This window comes from Homo sapiens, chromosome 19 (genome assembly GCF_000001405.40).
Source record: "Homo sapiens chromosome 19, GRCh38.p14 Primary Assembly".
In the NCBI taxonomy this organism is placed as follows: domain Eukaryota; kingdom Metazoa; phylum Chordata; class Mammalia; order Primates; family Hominidae; genus Homo; species Homo sapiens.
The window spans coordinates 49,452,352-49,472,864 of NC_000019.10; the positions used below are offsets into that span (position 1 = coordinate 49,452,352).

A 20,513-nucleotide genomic window follows, 5' to 3' on the forward strand; every position below is an offset into this window, starting at 1 on the left:
TAATTAGAAAAGCTGCACTTTGAGGCTGGGAGGCCGAGGTAGGAGGATCGCTTGAGCCCAGGAGTTCGAGACCAGCCTGAGCAACATAGCAAGATCCTGTCTCTACCAAAAAAAAAAAAAAAAAAAAAATTAGCCAGGCTTGATGGCACCTGCCTGTAGTCCCAGCTACTGTGCAGGCTGACGCAGGAGTAATGTTTAAACCTGAAAAGTCGAGGCGACAGTAAGCCGTGATCGGACCACTGCACTCCAGCCCTGGGCGACAGAGGGAGACCCTGTCTCAAGAAAATAAAAGGTAAAACAAAACCTGCACTTCCTGCTACTATAAAACAAGGCACTGGGAAGACGCATCAATAGGACGACCCTTTTTTTTTATTACTATTTTTTTTTTAGACACAGTCTCCCTTTGCCACCCAGGCTGGAGTGCAGTGGCGCGATCTCGGCTCACTGAAACGTACACCTTCTGGGTTCAAGTGATTCTCCCGCCTCAGCCTCTTGAGTAGCTGAGATTACAGGCGCGCACCACCACAGCTCGGCTAATGCTTGTATTTTTAGTAGAGACGGGGTTTCACCAAATTGGTCAGGCTGGTCTCGAACTCCCGACCTTAGGTGATCCGCCCGCCTCGGCCTCCCGAAGTGCTGGGATTACAGCCAAGAGCCATCGTGCCCGGCCACGCCGATCCTCATAAATCCGGAGCCCTCCTAACTATTCGCAAAGTACCCACATCGCCGTCTCCCCTTCCTCCCCGTTTTAAGCAGTGCGCATGCTCCTAAATACGCTTCCCCGTGGGGGACGTAGGCGGGGCCATCGGGTCCTAAGGAAAAAGTGTGGGCGTGGCTGCTCTCTGTATCTTGTAGCCCCACCCCATTCCCATTAGCCCCGCCCCTTTGGGCTGGAACCGGAGGTGTCGCTCTTCGGACCTCAAGGTTCCCCTTAACACAGAGCGCCCCGCAGTCTTCGCGGAAAGCGTTCGGGGTAGGCGATGGCTGCGACGCGTGCAGGGCCCCGCGCCCGCGAGATCTTCACCTCGCTGGAGTACGGACCGGTGCCGGAGAGCCACGCATGCGCACTGGTGAGAGTCTGCCCGGCCGGCGCTGCTCGCTGCGTTCCCCAGGCCTGGGCGCCCGGTTTTTCGCGGGGAGTCCCGTCATCCACTGCGGTAGCTCAGCCGCTCCGCCTCTCTTAGTCCCCGTGATTCCCGCCGCCCAATAGGATCGCGCCCTGTAGGACGCTCCCTTGAGCCTTGGCGGTGGCAGCCTTTTAGTCTGTTCCGGTCTTCCCCACTGGTTCTCTTGCCCCTTGATCCTGAACTCCTCGTAGTGTTTCCGCGGTTTTCCTGAACTCCTCTAGACGCTCTCGTGATTCCTCAGGGTCCCCTCAGAACCTGACGCCACCCACCAGACCCCTTAGGATTCCTGTGAGGCTCCAGTGACCCACAACCCCCATTGTCTTTCCACGACTCTTCAAAACATCCTATGGCTTCCATGGGCCTCCAGAGCACCCCAGACCTCCTGAGGGACTCCCTTCATCCCTTTGATTACCCAGAGACCTTCAGAACTTCCATGGAGCCCCCGTGATCCCATAGGACCCCTCAATACTCGTGGGGTTCATGTGACCTCATCGGAACTCTCAGGAGCCTAGAATACATCAGGACTTCCGGTTTGGGTTGGGTTTTTTTTTTGTTTTTTTTTTTGAGCCAGGGTCTCACTCTGTCGCCCAAACTGAAGTGCACTGGCGCTATCACACCACTGCAGCCTCAACCTCCTGGGCTCAAGCCATCCTCTCACCTCAGCCCCCCAAGTAACTGGGACCAGAGACGCGCGCCACCACTCTCAGCTAATATTTGTACTTTTTCTAGAGACAAGGTTTCAGCATGTTGGCCAGGCTGGTCTCGAACTCCTGGCCTCAAGTGATCCACCCACCTCGACTTCCCAAAGTGCTGGGATTACAGGCGTGAGCTACTGCACCCAGCCACATCAGGACTTCCTGTAATTACTTATGGCCCCTCACAATACCCTCACGGGGCTCCTATGATCTCTCTAGCTCTCAGAATGTCCCATAGGGTTCCCATGATTGTTCAGGAACCCCTGAAGTCCTCGTGAGGGTCCCATGATCCCCTGGGGGTCCTCAGAACCTCCCTAGGACTCCCATGACCCCTCAGAGGCCCCCAGAACCCTCGTGGGGTTCCTGCAAATGAGTAGGGCACCTCAAACTTTCTGTCGTTTCCCCAGGCACTCTCAGAATTCCTTCACGGGGCTCTCATGATCCCCCAGGGTCCCCCAGCACCCAGGCGAAAGGAGCTTAGGCTTCTTTGAGGGGGAGGGCAGGAGGCCAGAGCAATGATCCAAGTGGAAGGAACTGGATCAGAACCCTGGCACAGCCTAGAACTTGGGGAGGCCAAGACGGGCAGATCGCCTGAGCTCAGGAATTCGAGACCAGCCTGGGCAACATAGTGAAACCTCGTCTCTACTAAAATACAAAACATTGGGCCAGGCGTGGTGGCTCAGACTTGTAATCCCAGCACTTTGGGAGTCCTAGGTGGGCGGATCACCTGAGGTCAGGAGTTCGAGACCAGCCTGGCCAACATGGTGAAACCCCATCTCTACTAAAATACAAAAATTACCTGAGCGTGGTGGTGTTTGCCTGTAATCCTAGCTACTTGGGAGGCTGAGGTGGGAGAATTGCTTGAATCCAGGAGGCAGAGGTTGCAGTAAGCTGAGATTGCACCACTGCACTCCAGCCTGGGCAACGGAGCAAGACGCTGTCTCCAAAAAAAATACAAAAATGGCTGGGCGCAGTGGTTCACACCTGTAATCCCAGCGCTTTGGGAGGCCGAGGCGGGCGGATCATGAGGTCAGGAGATCGAGACCAGCCTGGCCAAGATGGTGAAACCCATCTCTACTAAAAATACAAAAAATTAGCTGGGCGTGGTGGCAGGCACCTGTAATCCCAGCTACTTGGGAGGCTGGGGCAGGAGAATCGCTTGAACCCAGGAGGTGGAGATTGCAGTGAGCCGAGACCACGCCACTGCACTCCAGCCTGGGCAACAAGAGCAAAACTCCATCTCAAAAAAAAAAAAAAAAAAAAAAGGAAACAGAAAACAAAAGATTAGCCGAGGATGGCAGCACACACCTGTAGTCCCAGCTACCCGGGAGGCTGAGGTGGGAGGATCACCTGAGCCTGGGAGGTGCAGTGATCATACCACTGAACTCCAGCCTGGGTGACAGAATAAGACCCTGTCCCCCCTGAAAAAAAAAGAAGTTGAGGCCAGGCAAGTGGCTCACACCTGTAATCCCAGCAGTTTGGGAGACCGAGGCAGGAGGATCACTCGCACCTAGGAGTTTGAGACCAGCCTGGGCAACATGGTGAGGCCCTATCTCTATTAATATAAAAATAAAACATAAAAAGTGAAGTTGAGACTTGGACTTGAGTCCTTGCATTTCAGACCCGTGGTCTTGCCTACACCAGCAAAGTTCTCAACCGTACAGTCTCTGGGCCAGACTCAACCAACAAACATGTTTTCTTTGGCGTGAACTTTATTTTTTTTTTATGTGAAATGCTGGACAATTGATTCCATGTAAACATCCGGGAGGTCCTCTTGAAAATAAAATTCCAAAATGTGTCAACATTTGGCTCAACTTCCCTGACAAAAGTCATCTGGGACCAATAGCTCCTGTCTTTTCCATGAATCGTTAAGCTCCTCTTCTCATCCAGGCCCTCTTCTCAGGCCTCCTGGAACCCTCTGGACATTCTTTTGGAATTTTGTTTTTCTTTTGGGGGGAAGCTTTCCAACTTGCACAGAATAATTAGCATTTATTTTGAACTCCTGTTTACCCATCACTGTGCCTCAACCATCATCAACATTTATCCCAGCGCTGTTTCCTTCTGTATTTTCTTTGGAGTAATTTAAACAAATCCTGGATGTCACAGTATTTTCCTATAAATATTTGAATCCTTTCTTCTAACAGATAAGGGCTCATTTTGTTACAAAACTACCATGGTCTGTTACCACACTTAACATTAAGTCATTCTTTTTGTTTTTTGTTTGTTTGTTTGAGACAGGATCTTACTCTGTCGCCCAGGCTAGCATTCAGTAGCGTTCATAGCTCACTGCAGCCTGAAACTCCTGGACCCAAGCAATCCTCCCACCCCAGCCTCCTGACTAGCTGAGACTACAAGTGTGCATCATCATGACTGGCAAATTTTTTACTTTTATTTTTGTAGAGATGGGGTCTTGCTGTGTAGGTCCAGACTAGTCTCAAACTCCTCAGCTCAAGCAATCCTCCCGTCTCAGCGTGGGAAAGTGCAGGGATTACAGATGTGAGCTACCATGCCCGGCCAACAATCATTCTTTAATGTCATCTGATGCCCAGTTCATGTTCAAATATCCCTGACTTTCTCACAGATGTCTCTCTCCCTGTGGGCGTTTGAGTTTGGAACTTCTAAGTAACTTTTTTGCTTTAAAGAGAAAGGAGAAGCCAGGCACAGTGGCTCATGCTTGTAATCCCAGCACTTTGGGAGGCCGAGGCGAGTGGATCACCTGAGGCCAGGAGTTCGAGACCAGCCTGGCCAACATGGTAAAAACCCATCTCTACTAGAAATATATAAATTAGCTGGGCATGGTGGCGGCCGCCTGTAATCCCAGCTACTTGGGAGGCTGAGGTAGGAGAATCACGTGAACCCAGGAGGCGGAGGTTGCAGTGAGCTGAGATCGCACCATTGCACTCCAGCCTGGGAGACAAGAGCAAGACTCCATCTCAAAAAAAAAAAAGAAAGAAGGGCCAGTAAGAGAAAAATCAGGAATATGTGACATCAGAGATGCTAGGGGAGTCTGTAGAAGGAGCAAGTGAGCAGTGTGCTTTGGATTTAGCATCAGGGAAGACGTGACCAGGATGAGAAAGAAATATGGAGGAGAAGTCCGGGCGCAGTGGCTCACGCCTGTAATCTCAGCACTTTGGGAGGCCGAGGCGGGCGGATCACGAGGTCAGGAGATCAAGACCATCCTGGCTAACACAGTGAAACCCCATCTCTACTAAAAATACAAAAAAATTAGCCAGGCGTGGTGGCAGGCGCATGTAGTCCCAGCTACTCGGGAGCCTGAGGCAGGAGAATGGCGTGAATCCAGGAGGCGGACCTTGCAGTGAGCAGAGATCGCGCCACTGCACTCCAGCCTGGGTGACAGAGCAAGACTCTGTCTCAAACAAAAAAAAAAAAAAGAAAGAAAGAAATATGGAGGAGATGTGGTGAGTGAGATGTGGTAAAAAAATTTTTTTTCTTTGAGACAGAGCCTTGCTCTGTTACTCAGGCTGGAGTGCAGTGGCGTGATCTTGGCTTACTACAGCCTCTACCTCCTGGGCTCAAGTGATCCTCCCACCTCAGACTCCCAGGTAGCTGGGACTACAGGCACTCACCACCACACCCGGCTAACTTTTTGTATTTTTTGTAGAGATGAGCTTTCACCATGTTGCCCAGGCTGGTCTTGAATGCCTAGGCTCAGACCACCTCGGCCTCCCAAAGTGGACTCCAAATAGGTGCCACTGTTGTGGCACCAGCCCAAGGACTCAGTTGAGACCCTAATTGAATGAATTAAAGATGTTGACACATCCATAATCCCAGCACTTTGGGAGGCCAAGGCGTGCAGATCACTTGAGGTCAGGAGTTCAAGACCAGCCTGACCAACATGGTGAAACCCCGTCTCTACTAAAAATACAAAAACAAAACTAGCCGCATGTGGTGGCGGGCGCCTGTAGTCCCAGCTACTCAGGAGATTGAGGCGGGAGAATAGCGTGAACCCAGGAGGCGGAGCTTGCAGTGAGCTGAGATCATGCCACTGCACTCCAGCCTGGGTGACAGAGCAAGACTCAGTCTCAAAAAAAAAAAATGAAAAAATGTTCTAGAACTAGAGTGGTGATGGTTACACAACACTGTAAATGCACAGAATGCCACTAAACTGCTGAACTATACACTTTGAAATGCTCTATTTTACCACAAACTTTTTTTTTAAAGCAATAGGAGGAAAAGAATTAGCTGATGGGGCAGAGGGAGACAGACGTCCCCTCCTAGAGGATTCTGGGTAGGGGTTGAACTGCCCCAGCTCCTCCCGAACCCCTTTCCAAACTGTCTCTACCTCCCCCAGGCCTGGCTGGACACCCAGGACCGGTGCTTGGGCCACTATGTGAATGGGAAGTGGTTAAAGCCTGAACACAGAAATTCAGTGCCTTGCCAGGATCCCATCACAGGTACGAGATGTCCCCCAGTCATTAGTGGAAGGGAGGTATCTGTGCCCTCTAGCCCTACCCACCAACACCCATTCCCCTTGCCTAGGGCCCTGAGGGCAGGAAACAGCTGGTGGTGGGAGATGGGCTGCGATGTCTGGTTCCTTCTGAAACCAGTCACCCTAATTATGGTTCCGGGTCTCTGTGGAGGCTTTGTGAGACTGCTGTCTGTTAAAATAGCTTCCTTGCCCTGGAGGTGATCATAGCCGTGACCCAGCAGAGAATGGGGACCAGCTTTACACTCTTGGGCTGATCCAGGCTCCGAAAATCTCAGCCCCCTCCAGATATGACATGGGCTACTCCTCCCATCTGAGTCCCCCCACTTTTCTCCCCAGGAGAGAACTTGGCCAGTTGCCTGCAGGCACAGGCCGAGGATGTGGCTGCAGCCGTGGAGGCAGCCAGGATGGCATTTAAGGGCTGGAGTGCGCACCCCGGCGTCGTCCGGGCCCAGCACCTGACCAGGTGATGCAGCTGAGGTGTGGACCCCGGGAGGCGGGGAACCCCAGCATCCACTCGAGACCATGGGAACAAAGGCTATTTCCCAAGATCCCACTGAATTAATTTGCAGCTAAGGCTCAGATTCCCAGTATGTGCTGGAGGCAGTCGTGGCTGAAACATGCATCCGTTGTCCACTATTCACTGGGACTAGAAGCCACAAAGCCTCTATTTCCCAGGACATTCTTGGAGTGCATTGGGGCTCAGTTCACTGGGGCTGGTGAAGCCCCTAAATCCATTTCCTAGCCGCTTGCGGGGAAGCTAGAGACAAAAATTCCATTTCCCAAAACGCAATTGAGGTTAGAAGCTAAGACTCAATTTCCCAAAAGCTTCAGGGATTTCCGGCGGCCAAGACCTTTACACAGCATCCTCAGGGTTTGTGTTTCCATGACTATAATTCTCATAAATCTTCACTGCCCTCTGCCCCAGGTAAATGGTGGGGATGCCTCAGGGGCTCATGGGGATTGTAGTCCAGGTATATAGGAGCAGCCCAGGACTCTGCAAGGCTGAGGGCCGTTGGAAAATGAGCACCCTCTTGCTTTCTCGACAGGCTGGCCGAGGTGATCCAGAAGCACCAGCGGCTGCTGTGGACCCTGGAATCCCTGGTGACTGGGCGGGCTGTTCGAGAGGTTCGAGACGGGGACGTCCAGCTGGCCCAGCAGCTGCTCCACTACCATGCAATCCAGGCATCCACCCAGGAGGAGGCACTGGCAGGCTGGGAGCCCATGGGTGAGACCCTGGAGTCCCTAGCCCTATCCTCCCACATGACTCAGCAGTGCTAGCTCCAGTCCCCTCATTCTTTTTCTTTTAGACAGAGTTTCGCTCTTGTCGCCCAGGCCGGAGTGCAGTGGCGCAATCTTGGCTCACTATAACCTCCGCCTCCCGGGTTCAAGTGATTCTCCTGCCTCAGCCTCCTGAGTAGCTGGAATTACAGGCACCCACCACCACACCTGGCTAATTGTTATATTTTTATTAGAGAAGAGGGGTCTCATCATGTTGGTCAGGCTGGTCTCAAACTCCTAACCTCAGATGATTCACCTGCCTTGGCATCCCAAAGTGCTGGGATTACAGGCATGAGCCACCGTGCCCGGTCCCCTCATTCTTTTTCTTTTGTTTTTGTTTTTGTTTTTTTCTTTTTCAGACAGGGTCTTTCTCTGTCACCCTGGCTGGAGTACAGTGGTGCAATTATAGCTCACTGATACCTCGACCTCCTGGGCTCAAAATCCTCCCACCTCAGCCTCCCAAGTAACTGGGACTACGACCATGCACCACCACACCTGACTAGTTTTTGTTTTTGTTTTTTTTTTTTTTGAGATGGAGTTTCGCTCTTTGTTGCCCAGGCTGGAGTGCAGTGGTGCGATCTCGGCTCACTGGAACCTCCGCCTCCCGTGTTCAAGTGATTCTCCTGCCTCAGCCTCCCGAGTAGCTGGGACTACAGGCATGCACCACCACGCCTGGCTAATTTTGTGTTTTTAGTGGAGATGGGGTTTTTCCATGTTGGTCAGGCTGGTCTCGAACTTCCCACCTCAGGTGATCCGCCCACCTCGACCTCCCAAAGTGCTGAGATTACAGGCGTGAGCCACCACACCCGGCCATTTTTTTTTTTTTTTCCTAATGTAGCCATGGGGTCTTGCCATGTGGCCCAGGCTGGACTTAAACACCTAGCCTCAAGGGATCCTCTTGCCTCATTTTTTTCTTGCAGGAGTAATTGGCCTCATCCTGCCACCCACATTCTCCTTCCTTGAGATGATGTGGAGGATTTGCCCTGCCCTGGCTGTGGGTAAATGATGGCCTGGGGGGTCCTGACTCTTGGGTCTGAGAAAGGAGGGGATCGTGGGGCCCAAACTCCAGAGTCTGAGAGACAAGGGGGCTGGAGGCCTGGACTCTGTGGAAGGAGTCTGTGGGAGGAGGGGCTGCGGGTCTGAACTCCTAGGTCTGAGGGAGGAGGAGCTGGAGTCTGGACTCCTGAGTCTGAGGGAGGAGGAGCTGGAGTCTGGACTCCTGAGTCTGAGGGAGGAGGGGCTGGAGTCTGGACTCCTGGGTCTGAGGGAGGAGGGGCTGGGGTCTGGATTCCTGGGTCTGAGGGAGGAGGGGCTGGGGTCTGGACTCCTGGGTGTGAGGGAGGAGGGGCTGGGGTCTGGACTCCTGGGTCTGAGGGAGGAGGGGCTGGGACCTGGACTCCTGGGTCTGAGGGAGGAGGGGCTGGGACCTGGACTCCTGGGTCTGAGGGAGGAGGGGCTGGAGTCTGGACTCCTGGGTCTGAGGGAGGAGGGGCTGGAGTCTGGACTCCTGGGTCTGAGGGAGGAGGGGCTGGGCCTGGACTCCGGGGTCTGAGGGAGGAGGGGCTGGGGGCCTGGACTCCTGAGTCTGAGGGAGGAGGGGCTGGAGTCTGGACTCCTGGGTCTGAGGGAGGAGGGGCTGGGGGTCCAGATTCCTGGGTCTGAGGGAGGAGGGGCTGGGCCTGGACTCCTGGGCCTTTGAGCTGCCCCACTTCCCCAGGCTGCACCGTGGTGGCCCTCGTGCCCCCGGCCTCCCCGGCGCCCCTCCTCCTGGCCCAGCTGGCGGGGGAGCTGGGCCCCTTCCCGGGAATCCTGAATGTCCTCAGTGGCCCTGCGTCCCTGGTGCCCATCCTGGCCTCCCAGCCTGGAATCCGGAAGGTGGCCTTCTGCGGAGCCCCGGAGGTACCTTCGGGACAGGGGTCGTGGCGGAACGCGGCTGGGGGCCGCAAGGCTCCTCCTGCGGCTGAACTGGGGGGGGTCCCTAGGAAGGGCGTGCCCTTCGACGGAGCCTGGCGGGAGAGTGTGCGGAGCTGGGCCTGGCGCTGGGGACGGAGTCGCTGCTGCTGCTGACGGACACGGCGGACGTAGACTCGGCCGTGGAGGGTGTCGTGGACGCCGCCTGGTCCGACCGCGGCCCGGTGAGACCCGTGCGCTCCCGTCTCCTCATACCCTGGAGGCCGTTGGTGTCTGTCTCCAGTCTTCGGGGTCCCGAGTCTCTGTTCATTTTATTTTATTTTATTTTATTTATTTTGAGACGGAGTTTCACTCTTGTCGCCCAGGCTGGGGTGCAGCGGCGCGATTTTGGCTCACCGCAACCTCTGCCTCCCAGGTTCAGCCTGGGAGTAGCTGCCTCAGCCTCCCGAGTAGCTGGGATTACAGGCGGGCACCACCATGCCTGGCTAATTTATGTATTTTTAGTAGAGACGGGGTTTCACCATGTTGGCCAGGCTGGTCTCGAACTCCTGACCTCAGGTGATCCGCCCACCTCGGCCTCCCAAAGTGCTGGGACTGCAGGTGTGAGCCACCGCATCCGGCCTCTCTGTTCTTTAGGACTCTGTTGATTTATCTGAGTGTCCATGTCCCTAGTTTTCCAGCCTCTGTCTTCACTCTTCAGATCACCAACTTGCTAGAGTGCAATGGTGTGATCTCCTGATGCCCCTTTTCCTCACAGGGTGGCCTCAGGCTCCTCATCCAGGAGTCTGTGTGGGATGAAGCCATGAGACGGCTGCAGGAGCGGATGGGGCGGCTTCGGAGTGGCCGAGGGCTGGATGGGGCCGTGGACATGGGGGCCCGGGGGGCTGCCGCATGTGACCTGGTCCAGCGCTTTGTGCGTGAGGCCCAGAGCCAGGGTGCACAGGTGAGGCAGGGGGTAGAGACTTGAGGGTGTCAGGGGAGGAGGGGCCTGGAGACCCAGCTCCTGGGTCCAAGGGAGGAGGGAGCTGGGCGTGGACAACTGGGTCCGAGGAAGGAGGGGCTGGGAGCCTGGACTCCTGGGTCTGAAGGAGGAGGGGCTGGGCCTGGACTCCTGGGTCTGAGGGAGGAGGTGCTGGGGCCTGGATTCCTGGGTCTGAGGGAGGAGGGGCTGGGGCCTGGACTCCTGGGTCTGAGGGAGGAGGGGCTGGGCCTGGACTCCTGGGTCTGAGGGAGGAGGTGCTGGGGCCCGGATTCCTGGGTCTGAGGGAGGAGGGGCTGGGGCCCGGATTCCTGGGTCTGAGGGAGGAGGGGCTGGGGGTCCAGACTCCTGGGTCTGAGGGAGGAGGGGCTGGCGGCCTGGACTCCTGGGTCTGAGGGAGGAGAGGCTGGGGGTCCAGACTCCTGGGTCTGAGGGAGGAGGGGCTGGGGGCCTGGACTCCTGGGTCTGAGGGAGGAGGGGCTGGGCCTGGACTCCTGGGTCTGAGGGAGGAGGTGCTGGGGCCTGGATTCCTGGGTCTGAGGGAGGAGGGGCTGGGGCCTGGACTCCTGGGTCTGAGGGAGGAGGGGCTGGGGGTCCAGATTCCTGGGTCTGAGGGAGGAGGGGCTGGGGGCCTGGACTCCTGGGTCTGAGGGAGGAGAGGCTGGGGGTCCAGACTCCTGGGTCTGAGGGAGGAGGGGCTGGGGGCCTGGACTCCTGGGTCTGAGGGAGGAGGGGCTGGGCCTGGACTCCTGGGTCTGAGGGAGGAGGTGCTGGGGCCTGGATTCCTGGGTCTGAGGGAGGAGGGGCTGGGGCCTGGACTCCTGGGTCTGAGGGAGGAGGGGCTGGGGGTCCAGACTCCTGGGTCTGAGGGAGGAGGGGCTGGGGGCCTGGACTCCTGGGTCTGAGGGAGGAGAGGCTGGGGGTCCAGACTCCTGGGTCTGAGGGAGGAGGGGCTGGGGGCCTGGACTCCTGGGTCTGAGGGAGGAGGGGCTGGGGTCCTGCAGTCCTCGGTCTCAGCAGGAAGGGACCAGAAGTCGACTTCTAGATCATTTCTCTCCCTAGGTGTTCCAGGCTGGTGATGTGCCTTCGGAACGCCCATTCTATCCCCCAACCTTGGTCTCCAACCTGCCCCCAGCCTCCCCATGTGCCCAGGTGGAGGTGAGACCCTTAAGGCTGCAGAGCTCCTACCCACCGCCAGCCAAGGGCAGCAGCTCTGTGCCTGGGGAAGCCCTTGGGGTAACCATGTGACCTGGGCGTGGGGGCTGCTGCCTGCTCTAGGCTCCTTCCCTGGTGGGTGGGCCCTGGAGGGCTGAGCCTCCCGGTCACCCCTTGCAGGTGCCGTGGCCTGTGGTCGTGGCCTCCCCCTTCCGCACAGCCAAGGAGGCACTGTTGGTGGCCAACGGGACGCCCCGCGGGGGCAGCGCCAGTGTGTGGAGCGAGAGGCTGGGGCAGGCGCTGGAGCTGGGCTATGGGTCAGTCTGCGTGGCCCGGGCGCTCACTCCTCTCCTCATTCTTCCATCTTCATCTCCCTTCTCCCTGGGTCGCTCCCCGCGCCTTTAACTCACCCCTCTCCCGGCCTGCCACCGTCTGTTTTCCTCTGTTGGACACCTTCATCTTCCCCACAGGCTCCAGGTGGGCACTGTCTGGATCAACGCCCACGGCCTCAGAGACCCTTCGGTGCCCACAGGCGGCTGCAAGGAGAGTGGGTGTTCCTGGCACGGGGGCCCAGACGTGAGTACATCCCCTCCCCGTCACCAGCCCCCCCGCCGCCCCATGCCCTTGACACTCGCATCCGGCCTCGCGTGCCCCTTGCATCCTCTTGACACCGTCCCTCTCACAGGGGCTGTATGAGTATCTGCGGCCCTCAGGGACCCCTGCCCGGCTGTCCTGCCTCTCCAAGAACCTGAACTATGACACCTTTGGCCTCGCTGTTCCCTCAACCCTGCCGGCTGGGCCTGAAATAGGGCCCAGGTGAGTCGTTGGGGGCCAGTGGTCTGGGAGTGTGAACGGGGAGAGGGGAATTGATGCCTGTTTCCCCGTGGACTGGAGGGCTGGCGCGAGGTCCATCCAAACCATCTCTTAGTCCTGCTGAGTACCACGTTGTGGCCTCACACTTTCCCTACCCCAGGCCTGCCGAGACTCTCAGCTCTGCCCCATGAATGTCTGTACTCTCCCAGAAACTCATGGGTCTAGGAGCTTGGGGTCCCCCAGAGGTTCACTGGAGCAGAAGCTTGGGGTCCCTCAGAGGCTCATGGGAGCAGGAGCTTGGGGTCCCCCAGAGGCTCATGGGAGCAGAAACTTGGGGTCCTCCAGAGGCTCATGGGAGCAGGAGTTTGAGGTCCCCCCAGAGACTCAAGGGAGCAGTTTAGGGTCTACCAGAGGCTCATGGGAGCAGGAGCTTAGGGTCCCCCAGAGGCTCATGGAGCAGGAACTTAGGGTCCTCCAGAGGCTCATGGGAGCAGAAGCTTTGGGTCCTCCGGGGCTCATGGGAACAGGAATTTGGGGTGCCCCACAGGCTTATGAGAGCAGTTTAGGGTCTGCCAGAGGCTCATGGGAGTAGGAGTTTAGGGTCCCCCAGAGGCTCATGGGAGCAGGAGTTTAGGGTACCCAGAGGCTAGTGGGAACAGGGGTTTGGGGTCCCCCAGAGGCTCATGGGAGCAGAAACTTGAGTCATCCAGAGGCTCATGGGAGCAGGAATTTGGGGTTCCCCAGAGGCTCATGGGAGCAGTTTAAGGTCCCCCAGAGGCTCATGGGAGCTGGAGTTTAGGGTCCCCCAGTGAATCATGGGAGCAGGAGTTTTAGGGTCCCCCAGAGGCTCATGGGAACAGGGGTTTGGGGTGCCCCAGAGGCTCACGGGAGCCAAGGCAGTCTTCCCAGTGCGGTAGAGCATAGGGTCTGAGCAGATTGAGGCCCCAGGACTCCTCCTCATGTCCCACCCTACTCCAGCCCAGCACCCCCCTATGGGCTCTTCGTTGGGGGCCGTTTCCAGGCTCCTGGGGCCCGAAGCTCCAGGCCCATCCGGGATTCGTCTGGCAACCTCCATGGCTACGTGGCTGAGGGTGGAGCCAAGGACATCCGAGGTGCTGTGGAGGCCGCTCACCAGGCTTTCCCTGGGTAAGGGGTCACACGGGAAAGCCCAAGGGTCATGGTGTGGCAGAGAGGGGAGCCTGCCCACAGCAATTGGTGGACTGGGAGGCTGGGCCCCCAGGGTAGGGGCTGTGGACAGAGGTGGGGTGTCAGGAGAGCCAAGACCAGGATGCCAACCCCCACTGTGCGCTGTCTGCCCACAGCTGGGCGGGCCAGTCCCCAGGAGCCCGGGCAGCCCTGCTGTGGGCCCTGGCGGCTGCACTGGAGCGCCGGAAGTCTACCCTGGCCTCGAGGCTGGAGAGGCAGGGAGCGGAGCTCAAGGCTGCGGAGGCGGAGGTGGAGCTGAGCGCAAGACGACTTCGGGCGTGGGGGGCCCGGGTGCAGGCCCAAGGCCACACCCTGCAGGTGAAGGGTCTGTGGGCACCTGGGCCAGCTGGGCAGGCGGGGTGGGGCTCAGACCAGAGGCTGTGAGATAACCCAGGCTTGGAATTCGGGCCCAGCCCCACCGCCTTCCACGGCAGGATCATCAGCAAGTGGCTTCACCTCTCCCTACCTCAGTTCCCTCATCTGTACAGTGAGTGGGCACACAACCCGCCTCGTAGAGTAGCGTTCGCCAGATGATGGATAGCGACCCATTCCTGGACCCTAAAATCAATTTAGTGGGCTGTTAGGCGGTTCTCACATTGCTGTAAAGAAACACCTGGGGGCGCAGTGGCTCACGCCTGTAATCCCAGTACTTCGCGAGGCTGAGGCAGGCGGATCACGAGGTCAGGAGATCGAGACCAGCCTGGGCAACACGGTGAAACCTGGTCTCTACTAAAAATACAAAAAATTAGCTGGGTACGGTGGTGGGCACCTATAGTCCCAGCTACTTAGGAGGCTGAGGCAGGAAAATTGCTTGAACCCAGGAGGCAGTGGTTGCAGTGAGCCGAGATCGTGCCACTGCACTCCAGCCTGAGTGACAGAGTGAGACCTTGTGTCACAAAAAAAAACAAAAAACAAAAAATACCTGGCCAGACATGGTGGCTCACGCCTGTAATCCTAGCACTTTGGGAGGCAAAAGTGGGTGGATCGCTTGAGGCCAGGAGTTTGAAACCAGCCTGGGCAACACAGTGAAACCCTGTCTCCACAAAAAATAGATAAATTAGCTGGGCATGTTGGCACCAGTCTCCCTCTGGCACCCGGCTGGAGTGCAGTGCCACAATCATGGCTCACTGCAGCCTCAACCTCCGAGGTCCAAGTGAGCCCCCCACCTCAGCCTCCTGAGTATCTGGGATCACAGGCACACACCAGCACACATGACTGGGTGTTTTTGTATTTTTGCAGAGACAAGAGACTCGCCATGTTGCCCAGGCTGATCTTGAACTCCTAGCTTCAAGTGATCCGCCTGTCTTGACCTCCCAAAGTGCTGGGATTATAGGCGTGAGCCACTGCGCCTGGCCAGGGATTACATTTCAACATGAGATTTGGGTGGGACATCTGAACTATATCATGGGCCAAACCATATTTCTTTCTTTCTTTTTTTTTTTTTTTTGAGACAGAGTCTCGCTCTGTCGCCCAGGCTGGAGTGCAGTGGCGCAATCTCGGCTCACTGCAACCTCTGCATCCCAGGTTCACGCCATTCTCCTGCCCCAGCCTTCCGAGTGGCTGGGACTACAGGTGCCCACCACCACACCCGGCTAATTTTTTTTTTGTATATTTAGTAGAGACAGGGTTTCACCATGTTAGGATGGTCTCGATCTCCTGACCTCGTGATCCGCCCACCTTGGCCTCCCAAAGTGCTGGGATTACAGGTGTGAGCCACTACACCCGGCCTTCTTTTTTTTAAATTTTATTTTACTTTAGTTCTGGGATACATGTGCAGAACGCGCAGGCTTGTTACATAGGGATACACGTGCCATGGTGGTTTGCTGCACCTATTGACCTGCCCTCTAAGTTCCCTCCCCTTGCCTCCCACCCCCCAACACCATATTTATTTTTAACAAAAGAAAATAGACCAGGCGCAGTGGCTCACGCCTGTAATCTCAGCACTTTGCGAGGCCAAGGTGGGCAGATCACAAGGTCAAGAGATCGAGACCATCCTGGCTAACACAGTGAAACCCCGTCTCTACTAAATATACAAAAAAAAAAAATTAGCCGGGCATGGTGGCAGGTGCCTGTAGTCTCAGCTACTCAGGAGACTGAGGCAGGAGAATGGCGTGAACCCGGGAGGCGGAGGTTGCAGTGAGCCAAGATCGCACCACTGCACTCTAGCCAGGGCGACAGAGTGAGAGTCCGTCTCAAAAAAAAAAAAAAAGAAAGGCGGTTATGCAGGATGTTTCTCACCGCCCGAACCCCCGTGGAATGATTCACTTTGACCAGCGTCTGCGAAATGGCAGGGGCTTCCACAATGGTGCGGTTTGGGCCAACACCAAGTGTTGGGGAGAATGTAGAGGAACTGGATCTCTCATTTACTGCGGGCGGGGCTCCCCTGCCCCACACGTGACCCACCTGTCCCTGCAGGTAGCCGGGCTGAGAGGCCCTGTGCTGCGCCTGCGGGAGCCGCTGGGTGTGCTGGCTGTGGTGTGTCCGGACGAGTGGCCCCTGCTTGCCTTCGTGTCCCTGCTGGCTCCCGCCCTGGCCTACGGCAACACTGTGGTCATGGTGCCCAGTGCGGCCTGTCCTCTGCTGGCCCTGGAGGTCTGCCAGGTATAGCCCCCTGCCTTCCTGCCTCTCCTCCCCGTAGCCTCAGGGCAGCAGAAAAAGGCGCCCCAAAGTCGGCAGGAGCTTGTCTCTTACCCCACCCTCCGTGGTACCCATGCTGCCCCCAGCCCCAGCACCCAAACCTTCACTCCTTGGGGACCCAGTGCCCATTCTTCACCCTAGGCCTGGGGCTTTCTCCTCCATGACCCCCCATCCCCTTCCCTCCCATGGGCACCCCCTGAATGCCCACTCCTTGCCCTGCCCCCACGGCCTCCCCAACCTTTCACTCTCTCTATCCCCTAGGACATGGCCACCGTGTTCCCAGCAGGCCTGGCCAACGTGGTGACAGGAGACCGGGACCATCTGACCCGCTGCCTGGCCTTGCACCAAGACGTCCAGGCCATGTGGTATTTCGGATCAGCCCAGGTGCTCTTTGTTCTGTTTTGCCATCTTCAGCATCTCAAACTTCAAACAGGCTCCTCCTTTTCTGGAAACACAGCCCCGCCCTCTTAGAACTCCTGTTGGTAAGGGGAGAAACTCCTTGACAAGAAGGTTTTGAGGCCCCGCCCTTAGGACTCAAGTTACTAAGGAAGAGGCTGTCCTTAGCAACAGGGGCCTGAGAGCTGCCTAGCCCAAAGACCTCGTCTCAGGGGACAGCCCGTTGCTAAGGACCACACCCTAGATTTGGAGGCCCACAGTCTACGCTTTGTTTTTCTATTTTGAGACAGAACCTCACCCTGTCACCCAGATGCAATCATACCTCACTGCAGCCGCAACCTCCCAGGCTCAAGCCACCGTCCCACCTCAGCTTCCTGAGTAGCTGGGACCACAGGCGTGCACCACCATGCCCAGCTAATTTTTTTCTTTTGCAGAGACTGGGGTTTCTCTATGTTGGCCAGGCTGATCTTGAACTCCTGGGCTCAAGTGATCTGCCCGCCTCGGCCTCTCAAAGTGCTGGGATTACAGGTGTGAGCCAGCACAACTGGTTGAGTCTACTGTTTTTTTTTTTATTTTATTTTATTTTATTTTATTTTTTTTGAGACAGAGTCTCACTCTGTCGCCCAGGCTGGAATACAGTGGCACGATCTTGGCTCACTGCAACCTCTGCCTCCCGGGTTCAAGTGATTCTCCTGCCTCCCAAGTAGCTGAGACTACAGGCACTCACCGCCATGCCCAGCTAATTGTTGGGGGTTTTTTTTTAGTAGAGATGGGGTTTCGCCATATTGGCCAGGCTGGTCTCGAACTCCTGACCTCGCGTGATCTGCCTGCCTCAGCCTCCCAAAATGCTGAGATTACAGGCGTGAGCCACTGTGCCCAACCAATTTTTACTTTTTAAATGGAGACGGGGTCTCGCCATATTGTCCAGGCTGGTCTCAAACTCCTGAACTCAAGCGATCCTCCCGCCTCAGCCACCCCAAGTGCTGGGATTACAGGAGCGAGTCACCGCGCCCCACCGTCCACTCTCTTAAACCTCCTGTTGGTAACAGATGTGAACTTGTTGACAAGAGCCTTGGGGCCCATTCCTTTCAACATGGGCTGTTAAGGGAGAGGAAATTCCCTAACCACTGGGTCCAGTGCTTTTCCCTACCATCTGGAAGTTCTGCTTGGGAGGAGCTGGGCATTGTAGCTGCAGAGCCTGGGTCCAGCCTGAAGCCCCTCGTCAGTAACAGTCTTCATCGCGGAGGAAGCAGGTGCTCAGCAACAAGCCTGCAGAAGTGCTTACCCCCGTCTCTTCCTCCCCTCAGGGTTCCCAGTTTGTCGAGTGGGCCTCGGCAGGAAACCTCAAACCGGTGTGGGCGAGCAGGGGCTGCCCGCGGGCCTGGGACCAGGAGGCCGAGGGGGCAGGCCCAGAGCTGGGGCTGCGAGTGGCGCGGACCAAGGCCCTGTGGCTGCCTATGGGGGACTGATGCCTGAGCGCCACCTACTGCATTTTGGACACCTCACACCAAGGGGAGATGCACCCCACAGACACCTGGGACTTTCCCCTTCTGGTTCCTGTGTCTCCCAATAAACTCTCTGACCAACCCTAGCTGTGCTTCTGCGAGAAGAAAGGGTGTAGCAACTTCTGGCAGATATGAGGCTTTTTTCTTTTTTTTTTTTTTTTTTGAGACAACGTCTGGCTCTGTCACCCAGGCTGGAGCGCAGTGGCACAATCTCGGCCCACTGCAGCCTCGACCTCTGGGGCTCAAGGGATCCTCATGCCTCAGCCTCATATGTAGCTGGGGCCACAGACATGCACCACCACACCTGGCTCGAGGCCATTTTAGTTCTGAGGTTGAGCAGCTCAGGAGCCGGCTCCAGCACGGTGCTGTGTTTGTGAAACAGAGAAAGGGGACCCCCGAGGACCCCAGACAGGGCCTTAGGACTCTCATATCTTCTTGTCTTCTCCATCTGGTGGCTCTTGCTCTCTGGTTTTCTCTACCTTTTCATGGCCCCAGAATCCATATGCAGTAAAGGAACTCTCTGGAATAAAATTAAAGTCCTCCTATATGACTTTTGTCAATTTCCATGATGTAAATGCTCCCACCGTGCCGGATTTCAAGGTACAGGTGATTAAACAACTGCCTGCGAGATCCTGAATTGTTAACAGGTCAGCTCCCATGAGCCAATACGAGCCGCTTCAGCACACCACTGCCTTAGGATTCTGGTTGTGGGTGGGTTTTTTTGGTTTGTTTTTTGTTTTTTCGAGACAGAGTCTCTCTGTCGGCCAGGCTGGAGTGCAGCGGGGTGATCTCGGCTCACTGCAACCTCCGCCTCCCAGGTTCGAGCGATTCTCCTGCCTCGGCCTCCAGAGTAGCTAGAATTACAGGCTCGCGCCACCACACCCAGATAATTTTTTGTATTTTTAGTACAGACGGGGTTTCACCATCTTGGCCTGGCTGGTTTCAAACTCCTGACCTCAAGCGGTCCGCCTGTCTTGGTCTCCCCAAAGTGCTAAGATTACAGACTTAAGCCACTGCGCACGACTGTTGATTTTTAAATAAAGGATCTTGCTCTGTTTTTTAGGCTGTAATACAGTGGCGCAGTCACAGCTTACTGAACCCACCCTCGACCTGGGCTCAATCCTCCCACCTCGGCCGGGCGTGGTGGCTCACGCCTATAATCCCAGCACTTTGGGAGGCCGAGGCAGGTGGATCATGAGGTCAGGAGATCAAGACCATCCTGGCTAACACGGTGAAACCCCGTCTCTACTAAAAATACAAAAAAATTAGCTGGGCATGGTGGCGGGCGCCTGTAGTCCCAGCTACTTGGGAGGCTGAGGCAGAAGAATGGCGTGAACCCGGGAGGTGGAGCTTGCAGTGAGCCGAGATCGAGCCACTGCACTCCAGCCTGGGCGAAAGAGTGAGACTCCGTCTCAAAAAAAAAAAAAAAAAATCCTCCCACCTCAGCCTCCTGAGCAGCTGGGACCACAGGCACGCACCACCATGCCTGGCTAATTTTTTTTTTTTTAATAGGCAGAGTCTACCTACGTTGCTCAGGCTGGTCTTGAACTCCTGGCCTCAAGCGATCCTCTCGCCTCAGCCTTTCAAAGTGTGGGACTGCAGGCATCAGCCACCACACCTGAAGTAGAATTCTTTTTGATGTAAGAAACCCACTCTTACTAGTTTAGGATAAAAGGGAGTTTTCAGAGGCCAGGCTCGGTGACTCAGGCCTGTAATCCCAACACTTTGGGAGGCCGAAGTAGGCGGATCACCTGAGGTCAGGAGTTTGAGAGCAGCCTGGCCAACACAGTGAAACCCTGTCTGTACTAAAAATACAAAAATTAGCTGGGTGTGGTGGCGGGCACCTGTAATCCCAATTACTCAGGAGGCTGAGGCAGAAGAATCACTCGAACCCAGGAGGCAGAGGTTGCAGTGAGCTGAGAGCACACACTTCACTCTAGTCTGGGCAACAGAGCAAGGCTCCATCTCAAAGAAAAAAAAAATGAGAGTTTTCCGGACTAGGTGTGGCAGTTCACACCTGTAATCCCAGCACTTTGGGAGGCCGAGGTGGGTGGATCACTTGTCAGAAGTTTGAGACCAGCCTGGGCACCATGGTGAAATCCCGTCTCTACTAAAATTATAAAAATTAGCCAGGCGTGGTGGCGGCACCTGAAATCCCAGCTATCTGGGAGGCAGGAGAATTGCTTGAACCTGGGAGGCAGAGGGGGAGCTTGCAGTGAGCCAAGATCGTGCCACTGCACTCCAGCCTGGGCAACACAGCGAGACTCGGTCTCAAAAAAAAAAGAGAGAGAGAGAGGAGTCTTCTGGAAGGCTACAGAGATTCCCTAGAGGCAATAGGGCGATAGGGCAGGACACACATTG

General features: G+C 56.2%; 1 protein-coding gene across 4 annotated transcripts, besides 3 other annotated features; it reads left to right on the forward strand.

Annotated features, from left to right (window-relative positions):
* ALDH16A1 (aldehyde dehydrogenase 16 family member A1) lies at positions 874–18,699 on the forward strand. 4 transcript variants are annotated; one of them, XM_047438163.1, is made up of 18 exons: positions 874–1,070; positions 4,465–4,575; positions 6,135–6,237; positions 6,609–6,735; positions 7,319–7,497; positions 8,471–8,548; positions 9,268–9,449; positions 9,533–9,685; positions 10,219–10,404; positions 11,503–11,598; positions 11,776–11,912; positions 12,066–12,171; positions 12,281–12,411; positions 13,387–13,554; positions 13,731–13,932; positions 16,030–16,215; positions 16,513–16,635; positions 17,955–18,699. In XM_047438163.1, the coding sequence occupies exons 2-18, from the start codon at positions 4,573–4,575 to the stop codon at positions 18,114–18,116; spliced, it is 2,322 nt and encodes a 773-aa protein (XP_047294119.1). In that variant the 5' UTR covers positions 874–1,070; positions 4,465–4,572; the 3' UTR covers positions 18,117–18,699. The 4 variants fall into 4 exon arrangements, with proteins under 4 accessions (XP_047294119.1, NP_699160.2, NP_001138868.1 ...); NM_153329.4 differs by lacking the exon at positions 4,465–4,575; XM_011526441.1 differs by lacking the exons at positions 874–1,070; positions 4,465–4,575 and adding an exon at positions 2,563–2,586.
* Positions 1,467–2,426: an enhancer, noted in NCBI's record as "H3K27ac hESC enhancer chr19:49957075-49958034 (GRCh37/hg19 assembly coordinates)". NCBI's record gives its function as "activates a minimal SCP1, AML or CMV promoter by ChIP-STARR-seq in primed H9 embryonic stem cells {active_cell/tissue: H9 hESC(primed)}" and the evidence as "EXISTENCE:reporter gene assay evidence [ECO:0000049][PMID:30033119]".
* Positions 16,483–16,682: an enhancer, noted in NCBI's record as "active region_14941". NCBI's record gives its function as "activates an Ori minimal core promoter by ATAC-STARR-seq in GM12878 lymphoblastoid cells {active_cell/tissue: GM12878}" and the evidence as "EXISTENCE:reporter gene assay evidence [ECO:0000049][PMID:35858748]".
* Positions 17,103–17,152: a silencer, noted in NCBI's record as "silent region_10916". NCBI's record gives its function as "represses an Ori minimal core promoter by ATAC-STARR-seq in GM12878 lymphoblastoid cells {active_cell/tissue: GM12878}" and the evidence as "EXISTENCE:reporter gene assay evidence [ECO:0000049][PMID:35858748]".

Excerpts from the sequence above, each read along its gene's own strand:
- ALDH16A1 (NM_153329.4), top strand. The coding sequence starts at position 981 with ATGGCTGCGACGCGTGCAGGGCCCCGCGCCCGCGAGATCTTCACCTCG. Across the intron at positions 10,405-11,502 it reads CCCAGAGCCAGGGTGCACAG|GTGTTCCAGGCTGGTGATGT; the intron begins GTGAGGCAGGGG and ends TTCTCTCCCTAG. Across the intron at positions 12,412-13,386 it reads GGGCCTGAAATAGGGCCCAG|CCCAGCACCCCCCTATGGGC; the intron begins GTGAGTCGTTGG and ends ACCCTACTCCAG.